This window comes from Homo sapiens, chromosome 18 (assembly GCF_000001405.40).
Source record: "Homo sapiens chromosome 18, GRCh38.p14 Primary Assembly".
NCBI lineage: Eukaryota > Metazoa > Chordata > Mammalia > Primates > Hominidae > Homo > Homo sapiens.
Genome location: NC_000018.10, coordinates 63,115,699 through 63,130,348, shown reverse-complemented (window position 1 = coordinate 63,130,348; position 14,650 = coordinate 63,115,699). Strand labels below are relative to the sequence as shown.

General features: G+C 41.2%; 1 protein-coding gene across 2 annotated transcripts in view; it reads left to right on the top strand.

The window, feature by feature from the left end:
• Positions 1-7,003, top strand: part of BCL2 (BCL2 apoptosis regulator) — a 196,745-nt gene extending 189,742 nt beyond the window's left edge. For both annotated transcript variants that reach the window (XM_047437733.1, NM_000633.3), the window contains one exon: positions 1,590-7,003. In XM_047437733.1, coding sequence (XP_047293689.1) covers positions 1,590-1,724 — 135 coding nt within the window. In that variant the 3' untranslated portion in view covers positions 1,725-7,003. The remainder of the gene's footprint in view (positions 1-1,589) is intronic.

Below are 14,650 nucleotides of genomic sequence, written 5' to 3'. Positions count from 1 at the left end.
GGAGCCCCTCCCAACAGCGATGTCCAGGGTCATGGTATGTTACTGTTTCCTGTAATAAAACTGTGTGCTTTGAGTCAGGGTTGTTGGGAATAATGTGAAACTATTCTTGTTTTCTTCTTCATCCTGAATAAATCAGAAGTAAAAAGAATTCATTTACTGATTTATATATTCAAATATTCATTCAGAAAGTTGTCCAAATACTCATTGGACCCAAATGTGAAACATAATCTCCCCAAAATCTAGGAAATGAGCAATTGGTGATTTGCTCAATCCAAGCCCATCCAGAGGGTAGACTTTGCTACAACACACTACAGACCCGACTTGAGATGGAGAGATAGGAATGGAAGGGAGACACTTTTTGTCTCTCAGGGACCTGCACATCCAGTGACACACCCCTGATCTCCTGCCTTGTGAGATCCACAATTTGAGTAAATGCAGAGTTGTGGTCGTCCAGTCTAGCCACCCCCAAGAGAAACCCCCTGACAGCTCCCTTTCCCCAGGAGAACCTTGACCTTAGAGGTTGGCACTGCACCAGTCAAGGCCGCCCTTGGCCCCTCCACTGACTGAGCCCTTGACTGACCAAATGCTCTCATAGAGCTGCCGTTAGCCACGCCAGGGCATCAGCAGAGAGAAGGGTGCTGGTTTCTATCTGGGTTCAAAGCCTGGCTCTGCCACTTGTTAAAAAGTCTCTTATTCCCTGCGATTCTCAGCTTTTTCATCTTCAGAACAGAAACAAATAAAATAACTTCATAAGATTGGTACAAAGAATTAGCTGGATGAGAAAGCGCATGCCTTTAATCCCAGAACTTTGGGAGGCTGAGGCAGGAGACTCACTTGAGCCCAGGAGTTCAAGACCAGCCTGGAAAGTATAGTAAGACCCTATCTCTACAAAAAATTTAAAAATTAGCCAAGCATGGTAATCCTAGGTACTCAGGAGGCGGAGGCAGGAGGATCACTCTTGAGTCCAACAGTTCGAGGCTGCAGTGGGTCATGATTGCACCACTGCACTGCAGCCTGGGCAACAGAGCAAGACTCTTGTCTCTAAAAAAAAAAAAAGAAAGAAAAAGTTTGGTACAAAGACTAAAATAATGCATGTCAGACATTTGATAAGATGTCAACACTCAATCGAGGAGTGTGACGGTCATCATCATTGCTAGATTTTATTACTTTTATGGATGGGCATGCTAGCTAAAATTGCAAAACCTCTAATATTTTCTAACTGCCTCTGCTGTTTTTCTCCTCGGCCCTTAGCACTCTCTCCTACACCATGTGATAATTTATATTGATTGCTGTCTATACTGTTCCACTCAATGGAAGCTTCGTGAAGTAGGAACTTTTAGTCTATTTTATGCACTGCTGTATCTCTAAGATGGCTGGCACGTAAAGAGGGTCTCAATAAATATGCCTTGAATTAATGAAAACAGTGGTTTCTGAATCATGGCCTCCAAAGAGCATTTGCCTTTTCCCCTCTCACCCTTCTGAAGGTGCCCAGGCTGCCCTGGCAGGATGCCTCTTTCTCTGTGGGGTGGCATTCTCTGCTCTCTCTCTAATACTCTTTCTTTTTCTTCCCTCCTCTCCCCCAACTGCAGGATGCCTTTGTGGAACTGTACGGCCCCAGCATGCGGCCTCTGTTTGATTTCTCCTGGCTGTCTCTGAAGACTCTGCTCAGTTTGGCCCTGGTGGGAGCTTGCATCACCCTGGGTGCCTATCTGGGCCACAAGTGAAGTCAACATGCCTGCCCCAAACAAATATGCAAAAGGTTCACTAAAGCAGTAGAAATAATATGCATTGTCAGTGATGTACCATGAAACAAAGCTGCAGGCTGTTTAAGAAAAAATAACACACATATAAACATCACACACACAGACAGACACACACACACACAACAATTAACAGTCTTCAGGCAAAACGTCGAATCAGCTATTTACTGCCAAAGGGAAATATCATTTATTTTTTACATTATTAAGAAAAAAAGATTTATTTATTTAAGACAGTCCCATCAAAACTCCTGTCTTTGGAAATCCGACCACTAATTGCCAAGCACCGCTTCGTGTGGCTCCACCTGGATGTTCTGTGCCTGTAAACATAGATTCGCTTTCCATGTTGTTGGCCGGATCACCATCTGAAGAGCAGACGGATGGAAAAAGGACCTGATCATTGGGGAAGCTGGCTTTCTGGCTGCTGGAGGCTGGGGAGAAGGTGTTCATTCACTTGCATTTCTTTGCCCTGGGGGCTGTGATATTAACAGAGGGAGGGTTCCTGTGGGGGGAAGTCCATGCCTCCCTGGCCTGAAGAAGAGACTCTTTGCATATGACTCACATGATGCATACCTGGTGGGAGGAAAAGAGTTGGGAACTTCAGATGGACCTAGTACCCACTGAGATTTCCACGCCGAAGGACAGCGATGGGAAAAATGCCCTTAAATCATAGGAAAGTATTTTTTTAAGCTACCAATTGTGCCGAGAAAAGCATTTTAGCAATTTATACAATATCATCCAGTACCTTAAGCCCTGATTGTGTATATTCATATATTTTGGATACGCACCCCCCAACTCCCAATACTGGCTCTGTCTGAGTAAGAAACAGAATCCTCTGGAACTTGAGGAAGTGAACATTTCGGTGACTTCCGCATCAGGAAGGCTAGAGTTACCCAGAGCATCAGGCCGCCACAAGTGCCTGCTTTTAGGAGACCGAAGTCCGCAGAACCTGCCTGTGTCCCAGCTTGGAGGCCTGGTCCTGGAACTGAGCCGGGGCCCTCACTGGCCTCCTCCAGGGATGATCAACAGGGCAGTGTGGTCTCCGAATGTCTGGAAGCTGATGGAGCTCAGAATTCCACTGTCAAGAAAGAGCAGTAGAGGGGTGTGGCTGGGCCTGTCACCCTGGGGCCCTCCAGGTAGGCCCGTTTTCACGTGGAGCATGGGAGCCACGACCCTTCTTAAGACATGTATCACTGTAGAGGGAAGGAACAGAGGCCCTGGGCCCTTCCTATCAGAAGGACATGGTGAAGGCTGGGAACGTGAGGAGAGGCAATGGCCACGGCCCATTTTGGCTGTAGCACATGGCACGTTGGCTGTGTGGCCTTGGCCCACCTGTGAGTTTAAAGCAAGGCTTTAAATGACTTTGGAGAGGGTCACAAATCCTAAAAGAAGCATTGAAGTGAGGTGTCATGGATTAATTGACCCCTGTCTATGGAATTACATGTAAAACATTATCTTGTCACTGTAGTTTGGTTTTATTTGAAAACCTGACAAAAAAAAAGTTCCAGGTGTGGAATATGGGGGTTATCTGTACATCCTGGGGCATTAAAAAAAAAATCAATGGTGGGGAACTATAAAGAAGTAACAAAAGAAGTGACATCTTCAGCAAATAAACTAGGAAATTTTTTTTTCTTCCAGTTTAGAATCAGCCTTGAAACATTGATGGAATAACTCTGTGGCATTATTGCATTATATACCATTTATCTGTATTAACTTTGGAATGTACTCTGTTCAATGTTTAATGCTGTGGTTGATATTTCGAAAGCTGCTTTAAAAAAATACATGCATCTCAGCGTTTTTTTGTTTTTAATTGTATTTAGTTATGGCCTATACACTATTTGTGAGCAAAGGTGATCGTTTTCTGTTTGAGATTTTTATCTCTTGATTCTTCAAAAGCATTCTGAGAAGGTGAGATAAGCCCTGAGTCTCAGCTACCTAAGAAAAACCTGGATGTCACTGGCCACTGAGGAGCTTTGTTTCAACCAAGTCATGTGCATTTCCACGTCAACAGAATTGTTTATTGTGACAGTTATATCTGTTGTCCCTTTGACCTTGTTTCTTGAAGGTTTCCTCGTCCCTGGGCAATTCCGCATTTAATTCATGGTATTCAGGATTACATGCATGTTTGGTTAAACCCATGAGATTCATTCAGTTAAAAATCCAGATGGCAAATGACCAGCAGATTCAAATCTATGGTGGTTTGACCTTTAGAGAGTTGCTTTACGTGGCCTGTTTCAACACAGACCCACCCAGAGCCCTCCTGCCCTCCTTCCGCGGGGGCTTTCTCATGGCTGTCCTTCAGGGTCTTCCTGAAATGCAGTGGTGCTTACGCTCCACCAAGAAAGCAGGAAACCTGTGGTATGAAGCCAGACCTCCCCGGCGGGCCTCAGGGAACAGAATGATCAGACCTTTGAATGATTCTAATTTTTAAGCAAAATATTATTTTATGAAAGGTTTACATTGTCAAAGTGATGAATATGGAATATCCAATCCTGTGCTGCTATCCTGCCAAAATCATTTTAATGGAGTCAGTTTGCAGTATGCTCCACGTGGTAAGATCCTCCAAGCTGCTTTAGAAGTAACAATGAAGAACGTGGACGTTTTTAATATAAAGCCTGTTTTGTCTTTTGTTGTTGTTCAAACGGGATTCACAGAGTATTTGAAAAATGTATATATATTAAGAGGTCACGGGGGCTAATTGCTGGCTGGCTGCCTTTTGCTGTGGGGTTTTGTTACCTGGTTTTAATAACAGTAAATGTGCCCAGCCTCTTGGCCCCAGAACTGTACAGTATTGTGGCTGCACTTGCTCTAAGAGTAGTTGATGTTGCATTTTCCTTATTGTTAAAAACATGTTAGAAGCAATGAATGTATATAAAAGCCTCAACTAGTCATTTTTTTCTCCTCTTCTTTTTTTTCATTATATCTAATTATTTTGCAGTTGGGCAACAGAGAACCATCCCTATTTTGTATTGAAGAGGGATTCACATCTGCATCTTAACTGCTCTTTATGAATGAAAAAACAGTCCTCTGTATGTACTCCTCTTTACACTGGCCAGGGTCAGAGTTAAATAGAGTATATGCACTTTCCAAATTGGGGACAAGGGCTCTAAAAAAAGCCCCAAAAGGAGAAGAACATCTGAGAACCTCCTCGGCCCTCCCAGTCCCTCGCTGCACAAATACTCCGCAAGAGAGGCCAGAATGACAGCTGACAGGGTCTATGGCCATCGGGTCGTCTCCGAAGATTTGGCAGGGGCAGAAAACTCTGGCAGGCTTAAGATTTGGAATAAAGTCACAGAATTAAGGAAGCACCTCAATTTAGTTCAAACAAGACGCCAACATTCTCTCCACAGCTCACTTACCTCTCTGTGTTCAGATGTGGCCTTCCATTTATATGTGATCTTTGTTTTATTAGTAAATGCTTATCATCTAAAGATGTAGCTCTGGCCCAGTGGGAAAAATTAGGAAGTGATTATAAATCGAGAGGAGTTATAATAATCAAGATTAAATGTAAATAATCAGGGCAATCCCAACACATGTCTAGCTTTCACCTCCAGGATCTATTGAGTGAACAGAATTGCAAATAGTCTCTATTTGTAATTGAACTTATCCTAAAACAAATAGTTTATAAATGTGAACTTAAACTCTAATTAATTCCAACTGTACTTTTAAGGCAGTGGCTGTTTTTAGACTTTCTTATCACTTATAGTTAGTAATGTACACCTACTCTATCAGAGAAAAACAGGAAAGGCTCGAAATACAAGCCATTCTAAGGAAATTAGGGAGTCAGTTGAAATTCTATTCTGATCTTATTCTGTGGTGTCTTTTGCAGCCCAGACAAATGTGGTTACACACTTTTTAAGAAATACAATTCTACATTGTCAAGCTTATGAAGGTTCCAATCAGATCTTTATTGTTATTCAATTTGGATCTTTCAGGGATTTTTTTTTTAAATTATTATGGGACAAAGGACATTTGTTGGAGGGGTGGGAGGGAGGAAGAATTTTTAAATGTAAAACATTCCCAAGTTTGGATCAGGGAGTTGGAAGTTTTCAGAATAACCAGAACTAAGGGTATGAAGGACCTGTATTGGGGTCGATGTGATGCCTCTGCGAAGAACCTTGTGTGACAAATGAGAAACATTTTGAAGTTTGTGGTACGACCTTTAGATTCCAGAGACATCAGCATGGCTCAAAGTGCAGCTCCGTTTGGCAGTGCAATGGTATAAATTTCAAGCTGGATATGTCTAATGGGTATTTAAACAATAAATGTGCAGTTTTAACTAACAGGATATTTAATGACAACCTTCTGGTTGGTAGGGACATCTGTTTCTAAATGTTTATTATGTACAATACAGAAAAAAATTTTATAAAATTAAGCAATGTGAAACTGAATTGGAGAGTGATAATACAAGTCCTTTAGTCTTACCCAGTGAATCATTCTGTTCCATGTCTTTGGACAACCATGACCTTGGACAATCATGAAATATGCATCTCACTGGATGCAAAGAAAATCAGATGGAGCATGAATGGTACTGTACCGGTTCATCTGGACTGCCCCAGAAAAATAACTTCAAGCAAACATCCTATCAACAACAAGGTTGTTCTGCATACCAAGCTGAGCACAGAAGATGGGAACACTGGTGGAGGATGGAAAGGCTCGCTCAATCAAGAAAATTCTGAGACTATTAATAAATAAGACTGTAGTGTAGATACTGAGTAAATCCATGCACCTAAACCTTTTGGAAAATCTGCCGTGGGCCCTCCAGATAGCTCATTTCATTAAGTTTTTCCCTCCAAGGTAGAATTTGCAAGAGTGACAGTGGATTGCATTTCTTTTGGGGAAGCTTTCTTTTGGTGGTTTTGTTTATTATACCTTCTTAAGTTTTCAACCAAGGTTTGCTTTTGTTTTGAGTTACTGGGGTTATTTTTGTTTTAAATAAAAATAAGTGTACAATAAGTGTTTTTGTATTGAAAGCTTTTGTTATCAAGATTTTCATACTTTTACCTTCCATGGCTCTTTTTAAGATTGATACTTTTAAGAGGTGGCTGATATTCTGCAACACTGTACACATAAAAAATACGGTAAGGATACTTTACATGGTTAAGGTAAAGTAAGTCTCCAGTTGGCCACCATTAGCTATAATGGCACTTTGTTTGTGTTGTTGGAAAAAGTCACATTGCCATTAAACTTTCCTTGTCTGTCTAGTTAATATTGTGAAGAAAAATAAAGTACAGTGTGAGATACTGGTTGTGCCTGGAATTGTTTATAATGTGTTAACATGATTTTGCCCTGCCATTCATCATCATTACACAAGACTTTGAAAAGCCTTCTTAACAAGCCAGTAAAATCACCAGGACCCTACTCTAATGAAGCCCTCAGGGACCAGGCTAAGGGATTGCCTTACAGGTGAAACCACCTTAGAAGGAGACTCTTGTTTCTTGGTAATAACCCTCCTGGTTAGGTACAAGATAGACCAGTCTTGAGTTCTACTCCCTGGGAGAGCTACTGTTGCTGTTGAGTGTGTTCTTCCATATAGACCAGAGATCCCAGCCTCTGCATTTTATAAGATGAAATGTGTATGAAAAAGAGGGAAATAAGCTGAAAGTTCTGTTTTGAAGTCAACATTTTTAGATGGAACCAAAGCAGCTACTTGCTTTGGAGCAGGTGAACCCTAAATGGCAAGGGATCTGATGTTTCCCACTGGGTTCAGGTCCTGATACCCTAATCCTCAACCCTTCAAGTCACATCACTTAGACTCAATTAAAAGGACTCTGATAGTAGCATTCATCTGTTGAGCACCTGCTGGATACAACACTGTATGCATACTACCTTTTGCTCTCAAACCTTTCAAGGTAGGTATTGGCCTCTTGTATTTTGTAGGAGATAACTGAGACTCAAGACGTTGAAACTATATGCCCAAGTTCTCAATAATCATAAATTACAGAGGCAGTATTTGAGCCCTGGTGTGGCTGACTCCAAGGTCCATACTCCATCCTTTGAATCGGTAGCCTCCAAATTGCTGCACTTGGAACCATGGTGGCACAGCCTTCCCAAGGAGTACCCAGGCATGGGATGTTTAGAAGAATCAATGTTCTCAACACCCATGGGTACTCCTTCATAAACCGATTTCCGTGAGCACACCCCTGAGTTCAGACAACTCTCCTCACTCTCCCCTTTCACAATCATCTGTCACACTTCTCAGAAGAGGGACACACTCCTCCCTCTGTCTGAATCTAACTGTGATGCCCTGCGGTACTGAGTGTCTCATACTGGCCCGGAGAGCTGACTGTGTGCCTGTCATCCCAAGCGTGTGTCAGTGAGGTCAGGTTAGTGGCTTGTAATTGGCCTTGGTGGCCGGGTGCGGTGGCTCACGCCTGTAATCCCAGCACTTTGGGAGGCCGAGGCCAGCGGATCATGAGGTCAAGAGTTTGAGACCAGCCTGGCCAACGTGGTGAAACGCCATCTCTACTAAAAATACAAAAACTAGCAGGGTGTGGTGGCGGGCACCTGTAATCCCAGCTACTCGGGAGGCTGAGGCAGGAGAATTGCTTGAACCCAATAGGTGGAGGTTGCAGTGAGCTGAGATCACACCATTGTACTCCAGCCTGGGTGACAGAGCAAAACATGAACATTAAAAAAAAAAAAAAAAAAAGAAAGAAAAAGAAAAAAAAATTGGCTGTGGTGGAAGCCTTTATACCATGTAAACGAACAAAAGCTATAAAGCAGGGCTTTCTTTTCTTTGCCTTTTTCTTTTTTCCCCAGAGAGTAAATTTACCTACACACCACTGGGCATGGCCCTGGAGTGTTAGAATTCTTGGGTTACTGAAAGGCATGATTTGAAATCCTGGAGCTATATTGGACTGTAATGACTGGGGAGCAAATCTTTTTGGAAACTGGTTTTCCAATTCTTTGCTTTCAACAAAGTTGAAAGAGTTTCTAGTGAAGACAGCCGATAGATTTTTTAATGTGACTTTTGAATATACCAGAAATTCAAATAGTTGAATAACGTTGCTATAACAAAACTCTTTCCAATCTCATGTAGTTGTTACATGAACAGCCCTCCTCAGAGCTTATATCCGTAAAGATAAAAAACAAGAATAGACTCACTGGTGAACACTAGTTCCCTCTAGCATTATGTAGTTTTTATTTATGGTTATGTGTCTTTCTGGGGATGGAGGAGAGAGGGAATAAACTAGTCCCATCTCTTTTAAGAGATTTATTTCCAATAAAATTTAAATTTTATACTTAATAATTATTTGTCAAAACTGTAATATATTTGTGCATTTTTATGAGTTGGGTAATAGTAATTGTATACTCAACTCAGGAACACAAAAAACCTTATGGCCACAAAAATTTACAGATTTGCCATAGATGATCCTGAGGTAAATCAATTTTAAGAAATTGTAAGTTGTAAATTTAGTTGTAAGAAATATTATATTAGGATAAAATGAGAGGCAGAATTATGAATTTGAGGAGAAGAAAAAGAAATGTAAAATGTCCAAGTGTCAAAAAGTAACTCCTATATTTTTCATGTAGGGTATTGAGTATCATGCCAGTATGGTATTTCGATTCCAATGGATATCGTTTGAAAATGATGTAACAAATTTATTTTTAAAATGTGAATTCTTAAAATAACTTGTCAGACAAACTTGTTATTAGCCTGTGTCAGAATTCTATTTCAGACTGGCCTCAAGAGAAGAGGCTCCCAGCAAGCCAGCCAATTCAGTGATTCTTTTTTGGAAGAGACACAAACAGAAAAAAGAAATGGCACCACAACAGAAGAACAGCTCGAGACTGGTTGGCGTGGTTTAGAGAGCTGAGTGGAGACCCTGACTTCTCAGCAGTTCTTAATCCCATTAAAGTCTATCCGGAAATTACCCAAGCATTTTATCAGGAATCATAATTACTTCATGGAAGGGGTTACAAATGACATCATACAAAAAAGTTCTGCCACAGACAGTTTGGGAACAATTTTCTTTCTTATGCTATTAAAGAGTGCATTGGAAATTATATCCTTAGCAACTATTGACATTTAAATTTTAAAAATGAACCGTCATACATGGGCAAGCGTGGTATATGTCTTTCAAACTGCTGACAAGGGGGCCTTCTGTCAAGTTGGGGTGGCACATCGGCTGATTCATCAGAAGACCCCTTCCCGGAAGGCCCCTCCAGGCACTCCTCTGGACTTTATTGGAAACTGAAAAGCAGATACTACCCAGCGGAGTATTTTATTTAAATTAATCTTTCTGTCAGCACCAAGGAAACAAGTAATTGGATAAAAATAATAGTTGTAATAATTACTCAATCTGGGAACAAAAAGTAAAGCCTTAAGGTCACTAAAATGCATTTAAATGCATAAGCTTAATCTTGGCTGTAGAAAAGTATGAAAAGCTAATCAATTTTAAATGTTAACATTAAGGAATCTCATCTGGGAAAAAATGGGGGTGAAAATGTGAATTTGAGGAGAGAAAGTGCCAAATTTCCAAGTGTTAAAAAAGAACTTGTTTCTGTATGTTTTATGTAGATAGTTTTCAATTATCAAACCATTGTGGTACTTAGCTTCCATTGTATACATTTTTAAAGTGATATAAAACAAATCTGGTTGTGATTCCTATCAACATAGGCATGAGCCACTGCGCTCAGCCCTCTTTGTTTTTGTGCTGGTTCCTTTGTGAAAGTTCTGCTGTTGAAGTGCTCCAGGACTCTACCCTCAAAACCCTCTACAATCCCACATTTACTGGAAGAATGTGGAGAAGGCAATGGATTTAGTCACCCTTTTTTGGTGTCCCACCACACACTGCCACCAAGTGGAGGACGGCATCTCAGGTCCCTGGCAACCTCATACTAAGAACGGAGGATTTGCCAGACAGGACCATTTCTGGGCCAATTTGGCCATTCAGCAATTCTTTTTGGAAGAGATACATACACAAAAAACTATTCAACTGTATGCAAATGTATACAAACTGTAAATGTATACAATGGGAATCTAAGTCCCTCAATGATTTAACACTCAAACACCATCTACATGGAAAACACAGAAACAAGTTTTCTTGTAACAGAAATTTGACATTGTTTCTTTTACTCCCCAAATTTACATTTTTTACCCCTCTCCCCCTATTTAATTTTGGGTGCTATTTTTTAATGTTTAAAGTTGATTAGCTTCTCTACTTTGCTACATATGTCTCTCTGGTTACTAACACCACTCTCAAGGGACCTTCCTTAGCAAAGCATGGGCCATCTGCCCTGGTGAGTTCAAACATGACTGCTGGGATTTTTGCCCAAACAACTGAGTGGATAGTGGTGTCATTTATTGAATTAGAAAAGGATTGAGAAAGTGAGGTGAGTGAGGATCAGATCTAGTGGAGGAGAATCAAGAGAAAACTCTTGTCAGTTGATAACTCCATCCTGTATCTCTCCTGAGTGCCAGACTCATGTCTAAGTCTCCTCTTGAATAGATAGTAGGGGTCTCAATCTCGATACAGAACTTCAATCAGTCATCAGCATATGGATAGTATATAGACATGGATTTGTGTGACATTTCCTGGGGAAGGAGACAGTAGGTGAGGGTAGGGTCCTAGAGCACTTCCAACAGCAGAACTTTCACAAAGGAACCAGCACAAAAAGAGGGCTGGGTGTGTTGGCTCATGCCTGTAACCCCAGCACTTTGGGGGGCCAAGGAGGGAGGATCAATTGAGCTCAGGAGTTTGAGACCAGTCTGGGAAACATAGTTAGACCATATCTCTACAAAAATAAATAAATAAATAAAAATTTTAAAAGAGAAGGATGTCTAAGGAAGTAGGAAGCCTTCTATTATGATTATTGTGTCATCATCTTACTTGAATCTCACAGGAATTTCATGAAGTAGATGTGATTATCCCCATTGTCCAGATGTAGAAAATGAGGCTAAGAGAGGTACATTAGTTAAGGTAGGCTAAATTAGGCTGCAATAACAAATAAACCTCCAAATATAAGTACCTCGACAAAGAGATGTACGCTCATGCCATAATCTAATGTAGGTTGGGAAACTCTTCCTGAGAACCTCTTATCCAGGAAGTGACTGAGGAACCCAACCTCTTTCTATTTTGTGATGCCATCATCTTCAACAGGAGGTTCACAAACACCTGAAGCTGTCAAAACAGCAAATGCAAAGACAGTAAAATATGTCTCAATGGGTTTTGCTCCTTCACGCTGAATGTCCCAGCCATTTACAAGCCTTCATTATCCTAGTTGCCCCCATTTGAATGCACTTAATTTTTCGACATCCCTTTAGAAGATGACACCAAATGAATATCATTCCCTGGTCAGCAACTGTCCTGTCCCAAGTGCTTTGGGGCTACTCCCTTCCTAGCCTGGAAGCCACATCTTAGTGACAGGGATCAGAGCCACATTCATGTTTTACCCAGTGTTCTGTATTGTTGTCTGTTACATTGAGATTGACATTAACCCCAGCTCTTTTTTTTTTTTCATGAACCACTAGGATGCCTGTGAAAATTTACACAATTGATTTCTTTTAGCACAAACTCAAGTCTTGACACCTCTGTAAAATTTCATTTTCTTGGTCTCTGCCCTCCATGCCAAGCCATGTGAACATTCTGAGTCTCAATTCTTACCTGTGTCTCATTATCTAGCCCTCCAAATTTGTGTCGTCTACAGATCTGATAAGACAGTCTTCTACACCTTTGTCTAAGTCTTTGATAAAATTACAAAACAGGTCAAGGCCAAAAATAGAGCCCTGTGCTGTTCTCCAAATAGCTCTCCATCAAACACAGACTATAATTTCTTCTTTTTATCTTTTTGCACTTCATAATTTGCTGAATAAAGGCAAAAGAAAGAGCCAAGTCTTCTTCTTTCTCTATATCATCTGTAAATATCTGTGCCTGTTTGTATTCTTTTTGTTGCAAACATATGCAAAAATTCCTTTTTGTTATTTTGCATTAAAAAATGGTAGCTCATTGCCCACCTTACCATACTTGTCATTAGTTTTTTCTGTCTGTCTGTCTGTATCCTGAATCACAGCTATCTCAGCCCACATCCACAATGAAAGCCATAGCCCCAAAGCAATCAGGCCCTGTTCTTTTCTCTCACTGCCTATAGCAGGTGACTTGACTTTAATTACAGACTCCTTTCAGAGTCTCCTACAGCTCCTCCATGGACCCCACAACAAGAATCTCAGAGGGTGACTGTCAAAAACTCTGAAAGGCCTGAGTTTTTCCCTACTTGCAAGTTATCAAGTCGGTCGGCCACAATTTTATGGATGCTGGTTGAAAACGTAACACTCCTGGGGTCAGATTACTCAGTAATTGCAGTTGCCAGAGTTATCAGCATATTTAAGTGGGGTCCCCAAGCCCCAATTCTCTCAGGAAAATGTGGATATGACAGACACAATGAGTCATAATATAGGAGAAGTCTGAATTTAGGGAGCTTGAATCTTCTGTATTAGGCAGTAAGCATGTCTGCCTTTTGTTCTGGAAAGAGATATTATCTCTGTGTTCCAAGGCTGTTCGCTATATACGTGTTTTTGAAAAGAGTCCAGAACAGAGCAATCAGCACCTTACTTACAACATAGACAGAAACATGAGAGATCCATGGAGAATTATCCATCAGCAGTGACACAGGACAAGTCTACTCTTGTTGCATGTGAGGTGATCAAATGCAATGACAGCAAAATATATCCTTATAGGCATTGCTCTATGAAGCCAAATGTTCTAGCCACAATCTCAGCCCTACACCATCCTAGTTCCTCCATTTGGACATATTTCACATAGCAACATCTCTTTAAAACTCCAAATATGATCATGTTTCCCTAGGCGAGAACTGACTCTATGCTGCTGATCATCAAAGTCAACCTTAAGTCCTCTTTTTTCAGCCACCTGCTGTCCACGGACACTGGATCTTGACTATCATATTATCTAAGGCCATTCATGGGCCAAATCAAATTTACAACCTACTCCCAAGACTAGGTCCTTCCTCAGCTTCCCCTTCCTCTTGCTGGTATCATCATTTCCTCAGGTTTCCAGGTTCAACACCGTAGGCACCTCAGCTCACACAGTGCTCATTTTGTGGGTTGATGAATGGATCCAGCCATTTGACAAATATGTGTTGAGCTTCATGCAGAGGGTGGTGAGGTGGGCTCCAGGCTTTATAAATTATTAAGACCCAGGCTGGGTTCCCACAGGTAAACCATAAACATTTCTCTCTCTCTCTCTCTCTCTCTCTGCAGCCAAGCCTTGGATCTTTCTGTTTGGAACACCAGCTTGGATGCTAAGGAGCAATGGATTTTTCTCCGTATTCTTTGTTTTTCCACAGTTTTGAGCTTACTCCATCTCAGAGCCCTGCAGGCAGGTTGGGGTAGAAGCCACAAAGATTATTATGAGTAAAACTCAGCAGCAAGCAGCTCAGGGGAGCTTTGATCCTCTCTCCCAAGGGGAACATCATCTCCTATATCCATGTGGAACCTCTCAGCTGGAGAACAAAAAGAGGAAAAAAGAGGAATAAAATATTTATAGAAAAGTTATTTCTCACAAGCAAGCATTTGTTCTAAGAGCTTTTAGAAATGTAATTATTTTTCTCCTTCTTGGGCTTTTCTGTTTTTAATATGAAACACTTTAAAGTCCCCTGGTTCGATTTCCAGGAAGCAATAATCCATTTTGCCTTGGGTGGAGTTTAGGAGAGAAACTAGGTTTCAGAAGTGAATATGCTTCCACTGAAAATGCCACATGGAGCTCTTGCCTCTTCTTTAATGTTCTTGCATAACAAGAATCCCATTCCCAGGGGAAAGCAGGGTGGACCAGCGGTCTTTCTTTCCACCCTCTACTGCAAGTGTCTCTGTCCTATTTGAGCCACAGCTGGACTCCTGGCCTCACCCTCACCTACAAAGTGACTGTCATATACAA